Source organism: Homo sapiens, chromosome 7, assembly GCF_000001405.40.
Source record: "Homo sapiens chromosome 7, GRCh38.p14 Primary Assembly".
NCBI lineage: Eukaryota > Metazoa > Chordata > Mammalia > Primates > Hominidae > Homo > Homo sapiens.
The window spans coordinates 37,209,090-37,225,143 of record NC_000007.14 but is presented as its reverse complement, the minus strand read 5'-3'; the positions used below and the strand labels follow the sequence as shown (position 1 = coordinate 37,225,143).

The 16,054-nt window shown below is 41.1% G+C and overlaps 1 protein-coding gene across 14 annotated transcripts in view; it reads left to right on the top strand.

Annotated features, from left to right (window-relative positions):
• The window catches only part of ELMO1 (engulfment and cell motility 1), a 596,421-nt gene that overhangs the window by 224,183 nt on the left and 356,184 nt on the right, over positions 1-16,054 (top strand). For all 14 annotated transcript variants that reach the window (NM_001206480.2, XM_011515654.3, NM_014800.11 and 11 more), the window contains 5 exons: positions 114-265; positions 2,451-2,529; positions 8,449-8,499; positions 11,687-11,809; positions 13,627-13,758. In NM_001206480.2, the coding sequence (NP_001193409.1) occupies positions 114-265; positions 2,451-2,529; positions 8,449-8,499; positions 11,687-11,809; positions 13,627-13,758 (537 nt within the window). The remainder of the gene's footprint in view (positions 1-113; positions 266-2,450; positions 2,530-8,448; positions 8,500-11,686; positions 11,810-13,626; positions 13,759-16,054) is intronic.

Genomic DNA, 16,054 nt, shown 5'->3' with positions numbered 1-16,054 from the left:
CTCAGTGCCTGGTGTTTCTTAAATGAGTTCCCGATTTGATTCATTTGTTCCCTTCTCCACGTCTCTGCTCTACTTACCACGAGCAGTCAATTGTGTCCCACTTGGATTTTCAGATAGCAAGTTTTGTGAACAAGTCAGCCATAGACATCTCGATCCTGCAGCGGTCCTTGGCCATTTTGGAGTCGATGGTGCTCAATAGCCATGACCTCTACCAGAAAGTGGCGCAGGAGATCACCATCGGCCAGCTCATTCCACACCTGCAAGGGTAAGCATGCCAAGATGCTCTGGGGAGGAGAAATGCTTCAGGAAGATGGCCACGGTAATGCACTGGGAAACGTTTTATGTTGTTATAGTTTGGTTAAATGTACAGAAAAAGAATCTCAATTTGGCATATAACCAAACCACGTGTCACACTGGAATGGCATGGTTACTTTCCCTTGGCCTCTGTCCCTCACTGAACTCCAAGCTGGTTCTTGGCATTGCCTGTCCCCACGCCTGGCCCTTGGTAAGCTCTCAGTTTTAATGGATATTGGTAGATATTGGCAGAGTTTTACTTTTAAGAAGATAAAACAGGATGATTTGTTCTCTTAAGTTCTCTTTCTTAAACCATGTAAGTTAATGTTTTCTGTGATATAATGAGTATTTTCATAGTTAATTAGAAATGTAATGTTATGCATTTTTACTAGGAATTTTTAAAGGCAGGCTTCTTTCTTAGTTATGCTCAAGGTGATTCTAGTGAGCTTCTTCTTTTGTATTTTATAATAAAATGTAGGATTTTTTCTAGTGGCTTGAGCTATAAAATGGACATAAGATAGCTGCCCCTGCAGCCTGCAGTCTTTGAGGCATTTTTCCCCTTCTTTCCTCCCTGAGGTAACTAGGAAGGTTGTCTCTGACAATACCAACCTGAGAAGGACTCTATTGTACAGTGCTACCTTAGAAATTCAAGTATTTTGGATTGCAGTGATAATAAACATTATGAGCTTGCTTACACAGGAAAGGAGGTTATTGGAACAATACTGGGGTACTTTGTAGAATCCAGAAATGACATAAGTAGCTAAGCCTTGAGAAGGAGAGAAACCATAGCTTCCCCGGAGTCCTCAGCAGATGGCCTTTTCTCTAGCATTTTGGTTGGCACTACAGTGACCCAACTCCCCCTAACTGTTGCCCCTGGTCCATTAGGTCACAATTACAAATTCTCAAGAGGAAACCCAATTGGCCCATTTGGGTTGGTGGTGCAGGGTGGGAATGGTTCTCTGAAATGTTAACTGTTGTGTTGATAATATAAACTACCAAAGCAGATTATATTAGATATTATTTTCATTTGGAGGTGGGAGGATTACCAACATTTAAAATTTAAGTCACAGAAGCTGAGGATTGTGGTGGCCTCCGTGATTGTGGCCTCAGAATCATAATTCTTCAAAATGATGATAATGTAAGGTAGCTTCTCTAGAAATAAGACCAGTTTCACATTTCCTTTGAATGTGAACTGTATTAATTTATATACTGTGTCTTTTGTGGGAATCTCAAAGGCACACATCTTCATCCCAAAGCACGTTACCAAAGTGGAGAGTTTATTATTCTCCAAGTACTGTGCTAAGGATTTTACATGCATAATCTCATTTTATCTTCACAGCAATCCCATGAAATAAGTGTGTCTAACCCCATGTTGTAGATGAGGTAACTGTGCCTTGGGGGATACTCATGAACTTGTCCAAGGTCTCAGCCAGCCTGTGATGAACTGGGCTTTGCACCCTATCCTGGCCTAGTTCTAAGCTCCACCTCTCTCTCACTGGCCTGATAAGTTATTCCTAAATGTAGCTCATAAGTCACTCTTTGTTTATGCCTTGAGTCCTCCTTATTTACTGTTTACCACTTGCCTTACATTAGAGCTTTGTTTCATTTTATTATTTCTGGTTCCTTTCCAGTGAAAATCAGATTTATAAACAAACACCTGTTCTTTTTGTTATTGAAATGTTTATATTTGGAAATAGATTTTTAGAATATATAATAGAGCCATCCAATTAGCCCAAGAATGTGGAGACATCTGAAACTACTCCCTGATATATTTCATGTATCAGACAGAAAATTACACATACATACACATACACATACATACATACAGACATACATACATCTATTACTAGTAGTACATCAATTACAACATCCCCTAGGTTTATGCCTTTAATCTGAATAAGAGAGAAGGCTGCCTATATTTCTGGGCATTCTGCACTGACCAGTGTACTGTCAGCTAGTAATAGTAGTTGTATATTTACCACCTTGTGATGTTTGAAATGCATTCTCAGTGCAAAATGCATTTTCTAGGCCCTGCCTTTCTCTCTCACTTTTTTTGGGGGGAGGGGGCTGATTTTGAGCCTTTTCATGGTTTGACCCAGGGCTAGCCTCTTCTGACTTCGTGTTCTGATTTTCTGAATTGTTCTCTATCTTTACAGGTCAGATCAAGAAATCCAAACCTATACTATTGCAGTGATTAATGCGCTTTTCCTGAAGGCTCCTGATGAGAGGAGGCAGGTAAGTTGCATTTCTTTAGTCTTATGGCTATGTCAAGGCTAGGAACTTTGTGTGCAGAGAACGCCCTCTCCTTCTATTCGGGGACTCATTGGGCCTCTCTGCTATCCTGGCCACAGATGGACTCTCCAGAGCAGCTATGTTCCGCTGCACGGCTGGCCCGCTGGGGTCCTTCCCAAATCCAGGGGCAAGTGGGTAGAGATGGATAAGCCCTTGACTGATGAGGGATGCTAGGAGTGTTCCAGCAGTAGAGCCTTTTCATGAAATGAAATGCAACCTGGAAGCCCAGATGTAAAAAGATGAAAACGCTGCTGTGGTGGAAGCAGAGTTAGGAGCCCCTGCGACCTTCTGTCATTTCATGGGATGCTCACTAGGTTGAGGGAAGTGCTGTTCTCATTTTCTGTATCAGGAAACAGACCCTGAGGGGTGCCATGTTTTTCCCAAGGAAGGAGGTGATGGAAGGTAAGAGGACAGGAGGGATAATATGCAGATGGCTGCTCCTTGTGGAGATAACTGCATTCGTATGTCAGAGGGGCTCCTTGCTTGGTGAGATTACTTACTTCTGTGTGTGGATGTGGCTGGGAAATTGGAGCCATCTGTTTCCTCTCCTGTATAAAAAGAGCCGGGTGCGGTGGCTCACACCTGTAGTCCCAGCCCTTTGGGAAGCCAAGGTAGGCAGATCACTTGAGGTCAGGAAGCTGAGACTAGCCTTGTCAATATGGCAAAGCCCCATCTCTACTAAATATACAAAAATTAGCTGGGCATGATAGTGCACGCCTGTAATCCCAGCTACTCAGGAGGCTGAGGCAGGAGAATCACTTGAACCAAGCCGGGAGGCAGAGGTTGCAGTGAGCTGACATCACACTGCTGTACTCCAGCTTGGGCGACAGAGCAAGACTATCTTAAAAAAAAGAAAAAAAAAGGAAGGAACCCCTTAATATACATACATGGAACCTTTCCTCTGATGGTGTCCTTTGTCTGTAGATCCTTTATTTCTTTCTTCACGAAGGAAAGGAGCATTACAGAGGGGATGTGAAGAAGTGGAATTTTGCCTTGTCTTGGAATTTAGGTCACACCTCAAAATCCATTCATGTTTTTTTCAATCAACATGTCATGTAATATGTTACCCTGGTCACAATTTCCTTCCTTAAAAAAGTGGGTGGGAATATGAGCTCTTTCACTCACCTAGAAACTATGCTGGGGAGCTTGATGGCAGTTGCCAGTGAGTTCGTTTAGAAGAAATTAGAAAGCGAACCTGCTACTGAATGCTATGACAAGAATTTTTGGATTTTATTTTGCTTTTTCATTGCCAAGGATTTTAAACCTCAGTGACTAAACATGAGGGGTTCTGGTTTGTTTTCCATTTAGAATTTCTTATTCATCCCTGGGGGGCTGTGTTTGCACAAGTAGTGGTGTCACTTTATAGTTTCCTGGACGTTTGATTTGGTGTTCGCTGGAGCCAGGTGGAGGTGCCTGCCCTCCACAAGCCTGTGCTAGGGGCAGTCTTACCGTGGCTGGATTTTTAGGAGTGGCTTTGCAGATCTGAGGTGAAATCATCGATAGGGCTGCTTCTGTGATATTTTAGTCTAAATACCGAACTCATAACTCCCAAGCAGCCCGGAAGTTGTCTGGAAGCTCTCACCGTGTACATACCCAAGCTTGACTTGGGCATTGGAGCAACGGGGTCCTTCTGCTGGCCAGACTGGGGACTTCTGGCCCAGCCACATGGTAGCTGAGTGTAGCGTGTGGGGTCAGGAAGGTTGCATTCTGATCTCAACTCTTGGAAGTTTCCTTTCCCCATCTGTGAAAGAAGAGGATGGATTAGAGGAGGTGAAAGTTCATGCCCACTCTAAAGGCCATTTCACTTGGATCTCTGAATCTAGACATGAGTAAAATGCTTACTGCATCTTATTTTATACCAAACACTACTGTTCATTTGTTAAATTGGACTCTCATGACCATGGACAAATAGGGAATCAGGTGTCAATCTGTACTAACTTCAGGACATTGATAATAATGGTAATATAATGGAATGTCGATATAAGATTAGGTTTGGATTTTGTGAATCAAGTCTTTCTTTGAAAACTATGCAACATAAGACTGACAGGAGACAGTTTGGCTATATATTATTCTAATAAACCACCACAAAGAGTAATAAACCATGACAAAGAGTAGTCTAATAACCTTAAACCATTTAAGAAAAGATTCCAACTAAGAAAGACTGTATATAATTCAGCAGAAATTTATGAAGTATTATATGACTCATTCATTCAAGCTCTAAAAAATACCTACAAGGTATTTAATTTACTTGCCCATGGAAAAGTGATGTGGACTTCATAAACTATAAACTCTTGAAATTAAGAATGTTGTTCATCAAAATAAAGGGAGTATCATGATTTTTAAATTTAAAAAAATTTCAGTGAGTAGCGAGATAGCTCTAAAAAGGGATTTCAGATTCATAATGAAGAAAAGTTTGTTGGATATTATTTTCTGAAGGTCAGTAGAGGCCTGTAAAGCAGAAGACTGAGCTAACTGGTGACATCATGTGGGTTGCTGTGGATTTATATTAACAGCTGAGCTTGTATGCCTTAGTCTGGGCTCTATGTTCTAAGTAAAATAAAGTTTCAGCTGGTCTGAATTTGACGTTGGCATTGTTATTGGCGTATGTTCTGAAAAATTAAAAGTTCTGAATTTTTGGCAAATAGGAAAATTGACCAAAGTCAGCCATCAATGATAATATTATTGAGAGTCTGGCATGTGCCAAGCAGTGTTCAGTGTTTTATATTACATTATTTCATTTTATTCTCATATTCAGAGAAAGCCACATTATTTCTGTTTTATAAGTAAGGAAATTGAGCCTCAAAGGGAGTAAAGAACTTGACCAGGTTACTGAGCGGGTAAGAATCAGAGTTCGAGTCTCAACCTTATCCCTGCTTTTACCTGCAAAGCATCCCATCCAACGCCTGTCAGAGATGTCACTCATAGAATTCTCCTGTATTTGCCAAGTAAACAACTCCCCGAAGCCTGGATAGCACCAAGCCCATTTTCTCACTCCAATTAGATTGAAATATAATCTAAACATGTATTTACTGGATTTGCAGGAACACTATTTTTTGTTTGTTTTTTGTTGTATCTGTTTAAAGCCTTAGAACCATTGCTTTGTTTGGAGTAGCCTGATTCCACTTCAGTCAAATACTTTTTTAAAATTTCATCTTTTTTTGACTTGGGGCCAGACACATTCACAGGACTCCATTATCTGGGGTTTCTTTGAATTTGGAATGCTTTTAAACACTTATACCTTATTTCTGCTGTTACTGAAAAAAATGCCACCATGGTCAGAAGGACCTGTGCTGTTTTTTCCTTTGCATCTGTGAGGTAGGCCTTACTGAGAGAGGCCTGTGCTGGGGCCTAGGGTAAAGCTTCCTCCTCTGGGAACTCCCTTCCCTTCTAGGGTTCCCCCAGGGGTGGAGGCCTTGCTTTCCCATGCCTCTGGGATGTAGGAGATTCTCAGTTTCCTGGCACAAACGGAGGGAAGGGCTGGGCTAGTTTTGTCGGGGAGGAGGTTGCTGTTAGGCGGGCAAATGGATCCTTTTGCTTACAACTTTTACCATTATTCAGTTCACTATTTCAATGGCAAATATGTTGGTGAGATCCCTTCCAAATTTCTCTACAAATACTTATACTTTTGATAAGCACTATTTAAAAAACTTGTTAGTTAAAAGATTTGGTAGAAAAATCAGAAAATACTGACTCAAAAGGAAGAAGTTTGAAAGATTCCTGTAATTATATTCCCAGAGGCAGAACCACGGCAATTATTTACAACTCTTGTGACTTTCATGGTGCTACTTCCCTGTTTGTTCTGTGCAAATATTCTCCTAATACATCATTTTTTTTCACCAAATGTGAGCATACTACATGCATTGTAGTTTTTCTAAACTTCTTTTAAAACTAAACAATATTTTGTGGACATCTTTCCATGTCAGTATATCTGGATTCATATTTGTAGCTATCTATACTTTTACATAATTTTAATGCTATAAAATATTCCCCATGGATTCTCACATTTACTCCAATAATTCCTTACTATTAGACCAAAAAATGGAGGCATGGATATTTCTATTTTCTCTTTGACCAAGCTGCTGTTCCTTAGGAGGGTAGTATAAAATATTTATTTGTTATTTTATCAAACATTTATTGTCTTCTCGGTGTCAGACATTGTACTTTGGGCTTGGAATACAAAAAAGAAAAAGACAGTTTCTGCTCATGAGGGACTCACAGTCTTATGCAGACAATAAATATTGTAAACAGACAATTACAATGATTTCTTTAGTAGAAGTTGGACATACATTGTCCCTTCTAACTTTAAATTTTATAGACTGATAGACAAACATAGGAACAGAAATATTTTTTTCCGTCTTTATTTATGAGCAATAATTTCATCTTTTTAAAGGAAAGAAATTAAAACAGCTATAGGATCCTTTGAGGCTTTTATTTGTCATCTGGTCTAGGAGAAACAAAAAAACCACCACCAGTGGGCCTTTCTATGAAGATCAGCAAGAAAGCCCTGCTTTCTATGCCTCGTGGAAGGGAAGGTTCCTTCTGGGTTACCATTTGAGTTGTTTCTCAATGCGTCATTGCTCCTGCTTTCTTGTTTTCAAGAGTATAAGACCTAGTATTGGATGTTGACTTGAGTGCCATCTAGCTTTTTTGAGTCACCTTACAGTATTTAAGCACTTTTCAATGCAGTGGGTCAGCAGGGGCGTTCAAATACAGTGGTCAACCTCTAACAGAGTCCTCTGAATTTCCATCCCTTCTTCTCTCCTGCTTGCTTTCCTTTCTGTGGTGGCGATGACGCCGTTAGGTTGATGTAGAGAGCAATGTTGACATCCTTGATTGTCCTCTGACTGTAAGTCACCCACGTTCCCTTTGTTAGCGTAAAGTGGGCCCTGCTCTCCTGTGCTGCTCCTGTCCACCCCTGCTTGTATGCCCTCCTCAGAAATCTCCCCCACCCCCCATGTTCTTGGTTTTCTTTGCTTTCTGCAAATTTGTTTTAACCTTAGTAGAAATCATGGTTGAGTTTTTAAACCGTGGCTTAGTTTCTTCTCTACTCAGTAAGAGTAGCAACACCAAAAACACCCCCTACCACAAAACAACGGTCAAGTGTCTTCCTGAATATGAGCAGTATTTTTACTTTAAAAGGCTCCAAGTGCTCCAAGACTATGCTTGATATACTATTTTCCCTTAGTCTCCACTTGTCAATATTTATAAAGGGACTCTGTGCATCATTTCCTTTAATAAAATCACCCTTGAATCCTCCATACCAGTCAGGAGATGCCAAGGCACAAAACAACCTGCAGAAATCAGGCCTTGCAGAGCTCAGTGAGTGTAGACTCTAGAGCTTTGCATCACCCAGATATTTGCCCTTCACTTAAACTCCACTCAGATCACTTATGTAGCCTGGTATATGTATTACTCACTCTTTGGTTTTGCACAGATTAAGATGAAATGACTTTTAGAAGATACTGGAATCTCCTTGCTACAGGCATGTGTTGCCTAATAAAAGCTTTCTGCACGTACGTAGTCTAATAAAAGATGATGAGGCTTTCTAATAGCCATTGCTTTGTTTGGAGTGCCTGATTTTTATTTAGCACCCACCTTTTTCTGGAAGGAAGAAATTCCTAAAGAAAAGAAGTTTGCAGGTGCCAGATATCTTTCCTTTGCTTTTGGACATTGCTTTTACATTCTAAATAAAACAGTCAAAAAAATAATTTGAATACTACTGCCTGTTTGAGTTCATTATTTCATAAGAAATACTGCTGATATACAGTTACGAAGCACACCCCAGGATAAGGTCATTTTTGGCCATGTCGAAATGTAGCTTTCTAACCTAAGCCTTTGTGTGGGTGTGTTTTTCTTCCACAGGAGATGGCGAATATTTTGGCTCAGAAGCAACTGCGTTCCATCATTTTAACAGTGAGTACCTATGCGCTGTGACCTCTTTGTGGGGGAGGAGTGGCCTGGTGCATTTGTTAATCTCTTCTTTTGGCTTCAGTCTGTGGTTTGTTCTGTGACTTCCTTCTGTGGTGAAGCAGTAGGAACTCTAATGAAGGAAAAAGTGAGTTTTTGGAATTGGAATAAATAAAGGCTTTCCCACAGGAATTGCCTCATTGGATTGGAGGGAGGGGTTTCTGGAACTGCTCTGGAGAGAGAAAGGGGGAACGCATTCTGGCCGGAAGGGTTGGATAGCTCTCTCAGTGGGGCAGGTTAGGGAGATCAGGGCTTAAAAGATTCACCCTGATGAGGTTTTGCTCTTTCAATGAGGAAGCTAGCTGTAAACATATCAGGTACCAAGAGAAGTCCTGAGATGTTGAACATCAGTTTTGGGGGCCCGCATGCAAGAGAGAGGAAGGAAAGATATAGATAGGAGCCACTCATTCGCTGCGATGCAAGATGACCTTAAACCTTGGTGGAAAAAAAAAAAAGCCCTAAGTGTCACCTTGCAAATGTTTAGAAATAAACCAAATAACAAGATTTCCTGAGGCCTTACCCGCTATTTGACTTACCAGCTACTTGAAAGAAGCAGGTTGATTGATTGCCCTGCTTACAAAAAAGAAAAAAAAAAAAAGGAAAAGAGGAAAAGAAAGAAAAAGAAAAATCTCTGTTTGCGTGATTCCAAAGAGCAGTTCAGCAAGCTTACAGTTAAAAACACTTGGTCCTCAAATGCAGGTTTTATTATTATTCAAGTATGGTGAGGCCAACAGATCAGGAGGTGGCTGGCATTGAAAAGTTTGTTAATTATAGTTCCCCAAAGGAGGGGGCATGCCGTGCCACTGGGGGATTGTCGGGGCAGGGGAAGCTCCTGAGTCAGGAGGCAGGGGAAGCCCAAGGAGACCTGGGCGAGAGCCCTTACTGTGGTTTTTGAGGGAAGGGATATGTGAGGCCAGGTAAGCTGGCTGAGCAGGTTTAGGATTGGCTAGTTTGAATAATTTCAGTGGGCTTTGGAGTTTATGGGCTGTCTCCAGTTGTCTGGTACCTGGCCCTGGGTGGTTAGGGCAGGAGAACAGTGGTCCTAAGAGTAGGAGCCAGAGCTTGTAGAGGAGTGGGGGGTGGGTGCCAAGGCTCTGGACTGATTCATTTGCATATGAAAGGAGTCATTTATTATCTCTAGGAATTGGCTAGACCTGGGAGGAGCAGTCTCTTCAGGGTCAACAAGGTCCCAGATGTCCCAACAGCAGAAACAAATGTCTAATACACACACACACTATCCCCCCTCCCTCTCCCACCAATACAAGTAAGCCATCAAAAATTAATGTTGAAAATAAATGTTCTAGATCCCAAAGCCAGTGGTAATGCCAGCAATTTGTGACCAAGTTAGTTCAATTTTAAACTTCCTGGCTGTCAAAGATGACAAGAAATGTATGAGTGTAACTTTCATTGTTTGATAAAAAGAGGTCCCCCAGTTCTTCGGGAAAGATAAACCTTTTCCCTCTGGAACTGAAATCTGAAATGAATCTTGGGAGAGCATCTTAATACATTCTAGGTCCAATTGTGGTTTTGGAAGTGCAGAAGTATTCATAATTACTGTCCTTCTTTATATTGGCTCTCAGTAAATGTAGAAGCAGCAGCATCAATGGGTAGCTCAGTGTCTTCATATTACCTTGATGTGGGAGTCAGGGTTAGAATGCCCTGAGATATGAGTGGCATTAATGACTGTGTTCACCCTGTCTCAAAAATCAGTTTGCTTCAGTGGGACTTCTTGTATGAGATGTTGTTGATGGCTGAAGTTCGAGGTTGGTACTCTCCTGCAAGAACTTGGAGTGCAGTACTTTCGAGTTGCTAAGAAAAGAGATTCCCATACGCTTTGGATACTAAGTGTGTGCCATGAGTTAACATGCTTTTCTGAGGATTGGAGGATAAGGGGTTTGATTTGCTCCTAACCATCCGTTATCTAGCTTCCCTGCTTCCCATAATTTTGGTTTGGTGACTGTATTCTCTCATTCCTCCCTGTCCTCTTTCTTCTATTCCTCAATCTTCTCCCACCCCTCCTCCTTGAATTAGCTATTTCAGCATGGCACTGACAGCTATGGTGTGGATTGCAGGTGGATGTCAGGTTGAGAGTCACCCAGGCAGCACTCTAAGGACCTAGACTTCCTCCAATCCTGGAGGAAGATCATTTTTCTCTACAATGGGGAGCTTTGTCATTTACTGAACGGCCACTTAGAAGTTGGTTTGCAGCAGTCTGTCTACCCAGGAGCAACTACAGATTGCCAAGAGAATTGGTCTTTCAGATAACATGGCATGAGTGGGGCTAGCACAGTTGAAATAACTGATTTGATGGGTTGTTCCACCACATTGATCCATTGTTTGGCATTTTTAATGTACAGTCAGAATCTCTGTTGAAAAGGCTGTATGTTAGTCCCAAATGCTGAATGTTGAGTTGGTGGCAGCTGTCCCATTTCTGGGCAGGGGTGAGGGGATTGGGGGTGGACCTATCCAGTCTTCCTGTCCTGCCACTCCTTGTATGTTCTCTTTTCAGTTCTGTTTCTATGGGGAAAAGTCATTTTATCTTTCATTTAATTGTTAACAGTGAGTAAAGTAATTCACGAGCATTTGCTCTCTGCTTTTGATGGTAGACATCCTTGTGTAGCTCCCACAGTGGATTAAGATTTGATGGGTATTTTGCTTTTGTGTGTTCCTTCTAAAACTTTTCCCCATTTTGAAGTGGGCTCACCTGTCAGAGACAGTCCCAGGGTAAGATAATGGCAAAATTGCTTCCTATGGGTATGCATCATTGGTTTTTCTGCTGCGTGTGACAGATGCTTCCATTGTAGAAATCCACAGTTGTCTTGGAGACACCCCCATTTCAAGCACATCTTCTCTTGACTTATATGGCTGCCATCATCAGTCCCTTTCCAGCGCTTTTCCCCTTCCACTCCCTCCTGCCCACAGTAGGTTTTTTCATGGCCTGTGACCTGAAGATCAGGAACCTTACTGGGCTCTGAAATTCAAAGGAAAGCTCTGAAATTCCCTGTGCCCTCACCTTCCTTCTCCATTCCTTATACCTCCCAGTGAAGACTGTGAGAGCCTTCTTGAGTGTTAATTCTAGTTGTTTCCTTTTCTTTCTTTTTTAAAAAATTTCATTTGTGAACCATCTCCCTAGCATGTCATCCGAGCCCAGCGGGCCATCAACAATGAGATGGCGCACCAGCTGTATGTTCTACAAGTGCTCACCTTTAACCTCCTGGAAGACAGGATGATGACCAAAATGGACCCCCAGGACCAGGTGAGTGCTCATTGGACAGCAGTCAAAGCACAGGAAGGACAGAAAGTGTCATTAAAAGTCTTTTCTTGAGGTACCCTGAAACTAGGGAGTTTCAGAGTTTGATATGATGTCATTTTATTATCATCTCAGAACTTAGGGGCATGGCTTCAAAATTAGGTGAATCTAGGATCAGAAAATATACCAAATGCATTCTTCCATTAGGCTCCAAACATGCATGTTCTTTCTGCATTTATTGAATAAGAAAGTTTGATGTCACATGACCACAGACTTTAGCTCCTGGCCCCAAGTAACATTTAATAGTAGTAGCTTTGGAGTCAAGTTCCCAGACAACTAGGGCCTCTTGGTGACTCTATGTGGCATTGATTCTGTGGGGTTGAGTTAGCAATTTTCGTTCTCCAGGGATCAGTGCCAAGAGCAGGGTCCCAGATTAAACCTGATTTCTGGGCCAGCATTTCTGTCGGTTGGCTGTTGGCTGTAACTCTCTGCTGGGTCTCTTGTTGTGCATGAAAGGTTATAGCTCCATTCAGAAGGCTTTGGGGACCTTTGCTGTGTGAGGGTAGAGTGAGAGGAAACAGCTGGGAGCCCTGCCGTAGCACATTTTCAACTTAAACAGCGCTGCAGCTTTGGAAAGGAAAACACTCATTATTGGCACGTGAGGGCCTGATCTGTTGCAGATGTGAACTGCATATGTGAAGTGTGTAGCTGCCGTGGCACTTCATTCATGGAGCAAGGCCATACGGTTAAGAATGATGGAGAGGCTTTGAGAGGCGGTGAATGTGCCCCACGTTTTTGGCAAGGTGTGGTCATCCCAGGGAGAGGAGACTGTCATCTTACCACTTCTAGTGGCAGAGAGCAATGCCTCTTAATATTGAATGACATGACGCTCTTTGCTTGGAAACCCTTTTAAAAATTTATTTATGTATTTTATTGTGGTGGGATATGTATAACAGAAAGTTTACTATTTTAACCATTCTTAAGTGTACAGTCTAGTGGCATTAAGTACATTCACATTGTTAGGAAACTGTCACCACCATCTATCTCCAGAACTCTTTTTATCTTGCAGAACTGAAACTCTGTACCCATTAAACACTAACTCCCCATTCCCCTGTCCTCTTAGTCCCTGGTAACCACCATTCTAGTTTCTGTCTATGAATTTGACTACTCCAGGGACCTCATATAATTGAAATTGGACAATATGCATATTTCTGTGTCTGGTTTATTTCACTCAGCATAATATCTTCAAAGCTCATCCAGATTGTAGCATCTACTGGGATTGCCCTCTTTCAAAGCCTGGATAGTATCCCATTGTATGTCCACACCACATTTTGTTCATCCATTTACCCTTGGATGGACACTTGGGTTGTTTGCACCTTTGACCCTTTCTTTCTTTTTTGTCCTGTGTTGGTTTCCATGAAGTAACTTAGTGGGGTGAGGCACTTTGGGTGCTTCTTACTTTGTTCCCAACTGTACAGTATCCCCAGTTTCTCTAGCTTAGCTTTCTCCAATCACGACCCTTCCATCATATCTGGGCCTCTCAGTTAAGACTGCACTGGACTATCAATATTCGTGCTCCAGATAACTACTTGGCTAAGAGGACCACTGTGGAATACAGCCAGGCCTGACCAGCAGGGAGACTGACGGGGGAAGAGTGGTCTGCAAAGCCCTAACTTAGAACATTGGTTCTCTTTTATCTGTTTTTCTTTTGCCTGAATGCAGTGATTCATTTAGACCCCAGGGAAAGAGGGAGTATATGTAATGTCACACAATGAAAGCAGCTTTTTCCCCTCCCTTTTCTTTTTACTCCCTGATTCCTTCAGGCTCAGAGGGACATCATATTTGAACTTCGAAGAATTGCTTTTGATGCTGAGTCTGAACCTAACAACAGCAGTGGCAGCATGGAGAAACGCAAGTCCATGTACACGCGAGATTATAAGAAGCTTGGGTTCATTGTAAGTAAGCTATCTCCAGTATGCGCTCTCCCTCCAGCCTCCCCGGGCCTGACCTCAGCCACATAACTGATGTCTCTTCCGAGCGTGTGGTCCTCTTGCGCTTTACGGAATAGTTTCCACATTTCCAGATGTTTAGCTGGTTTAAACAGGATCACATGAAAATCTCTTCTGGCTTCAGTGAAATGGAATAACTTGCACAAGTGTGACTAATACTGCATTTGTTTATTCAGTTCTGATTAAGTGTAACCGAGAGTAGTTAGCCCGGAATGTATCTCGACTTCATTAAATCTATTTCACAAGATGCTTAAGATTTGTGTTTGCCTTAAATGAGTGATGGATCTTATTATTGGGTTATTGAGTTGATTACTTACATACATCAATTTTATATCAAAGTCAAATTGAAAGTCTCCTGAAATTTAATCCTGATGACATTAACACAATTTATGTTTTCTTAAAAGGTCTCTCTTGCTATGAATGCTAATAGGTTGTCTCCTAGATTTTTTTTTTAGTTTGCAAATCAGAACACAGCTTGTCCTGAATATAATCCATTGTTTTCATTTCTGTTTGCACTATATTCTCGATTTTCTCCCCATGAAGTCTCTGAGTGACCTTCGGCTAATATCAAATTCTGCAGTTGTAAAATTGGATTTCAATTTTAATCCCCATCATAAATGGCATTACTGAGATTTTGGCTTCGGTGATTAGAAATCACCAGGCATTATTTTATAGTTCCAAATACTCTTTCCTTGGAAAAAAATATATAAGCTATATATCTGTATGTGTGTGTCTGTGTGTGTATATATATAAGGTGTATATATTTTATATATATACATATTCATGCATATACATATATACAGACACACCCAAATATATATATATACACACAATGTATATATCTGTATATATACTAATAATAATATTTATACATAGTTTGACAAATGGTATCATGCTTTATGTGTTATTTGAGAAGGCTTGTCTTTCATGGGAATATTCTTTGAAAATGTTTTCATATTACTGTGTTTCATTACTGATTTGTTTTTCATTATTTAGATGTAATACAATTTATTTAACCAAGCCCTTTTACTAAATGATTCAATGCTTTGAAATTACCATAAGTCTATAATTAATATCTTACAGCCCAGAATGTATGCACACCCATGATCACATTATTAGGATAAATTTGTGGAACTGTACTTTGTATGAGATATGTTTTCAAGGCTTTTGATACTGTCTAATTGCTTTCCACACACAGAAAGTCATGTCCATTTTAACCAGCAGTGTTCATTTTTTTTTTAACTCTCTCCAGTAGTGTTTCTTAAACTAAAAAAACCTAAAAACCTAAAAAACTAACACTCTGTCCAGTTATTGTTTTTATAGTGTTAGTTTTAATATGACGTTTTAAATAAGAATACTTACTGCATATTCAGCTTTGCAGCTTGCTTTACAGAGGTATTCTGAAATTATTTTTGTATCATTATATTTTATGTTTCGACCTTGGCATTCCATTTTATCTTTTAGTTGAATCAATTTTTTAAAATTTTAGCAAAAAATGTCATGACTGGTGGAGCGGGTGAGTTTCCTGTACTTGTGTGTCGATGACCAAAGCTCCAGGGTGGCAGTGACCTTGCTGGCAGAGCCCCTCTGCCAGAGCGATGGTCCAGGGAAGGCGGATGGGACTCACTTTCTACCTCACCCTCAATTCCAAGTTTTACTTTTATGTGGTAAGCAAGACATATCGAGGTCACTTGGGAGGCTTTGCGAAATCACCCAATCTCTCTTACCCTCAAGTCATATCAAAATTACCAAGGAAGAATCAGGGCATGTACATTTGGAAAATACTCTTAATTGATTCCTCTTCTGAGGGAGAGCCTGGTTCTAGGGTGCTCCTGTGACTGCAATTTTATCGTCCTCCTCCTGCCAGTGCCTGGATTTCTTCTGAGCTATGTAGAAAATCCAAAACCTGAATTCTTTCCATGTGCTGCCTCCGGGATGCATGTGTCTCTGTCCCAGTAGTGATTTTCCTCGGGGGCAGTTGGATCCCAGAATGCACAGTATGGAGGGACTGTGGAGAGAGAGAGGTTGGGGGCCAACCACATGGAGGAGATAGGATTACTATAGAATCTGGGTCCCTGTGAGAGCTATCTGTAATGGGGGTGTGTGCTATGAAGCATCTCCTTTTTATTTTCAGACCCTGTTCTTATGTGAGATGACCAGGGTATTCCAAAATCAGAGTACATTTTCTCAATGTAGCTCCATCTGTCTTAACATTCTTGTTAATTCCTTGTACAGTTTAGTC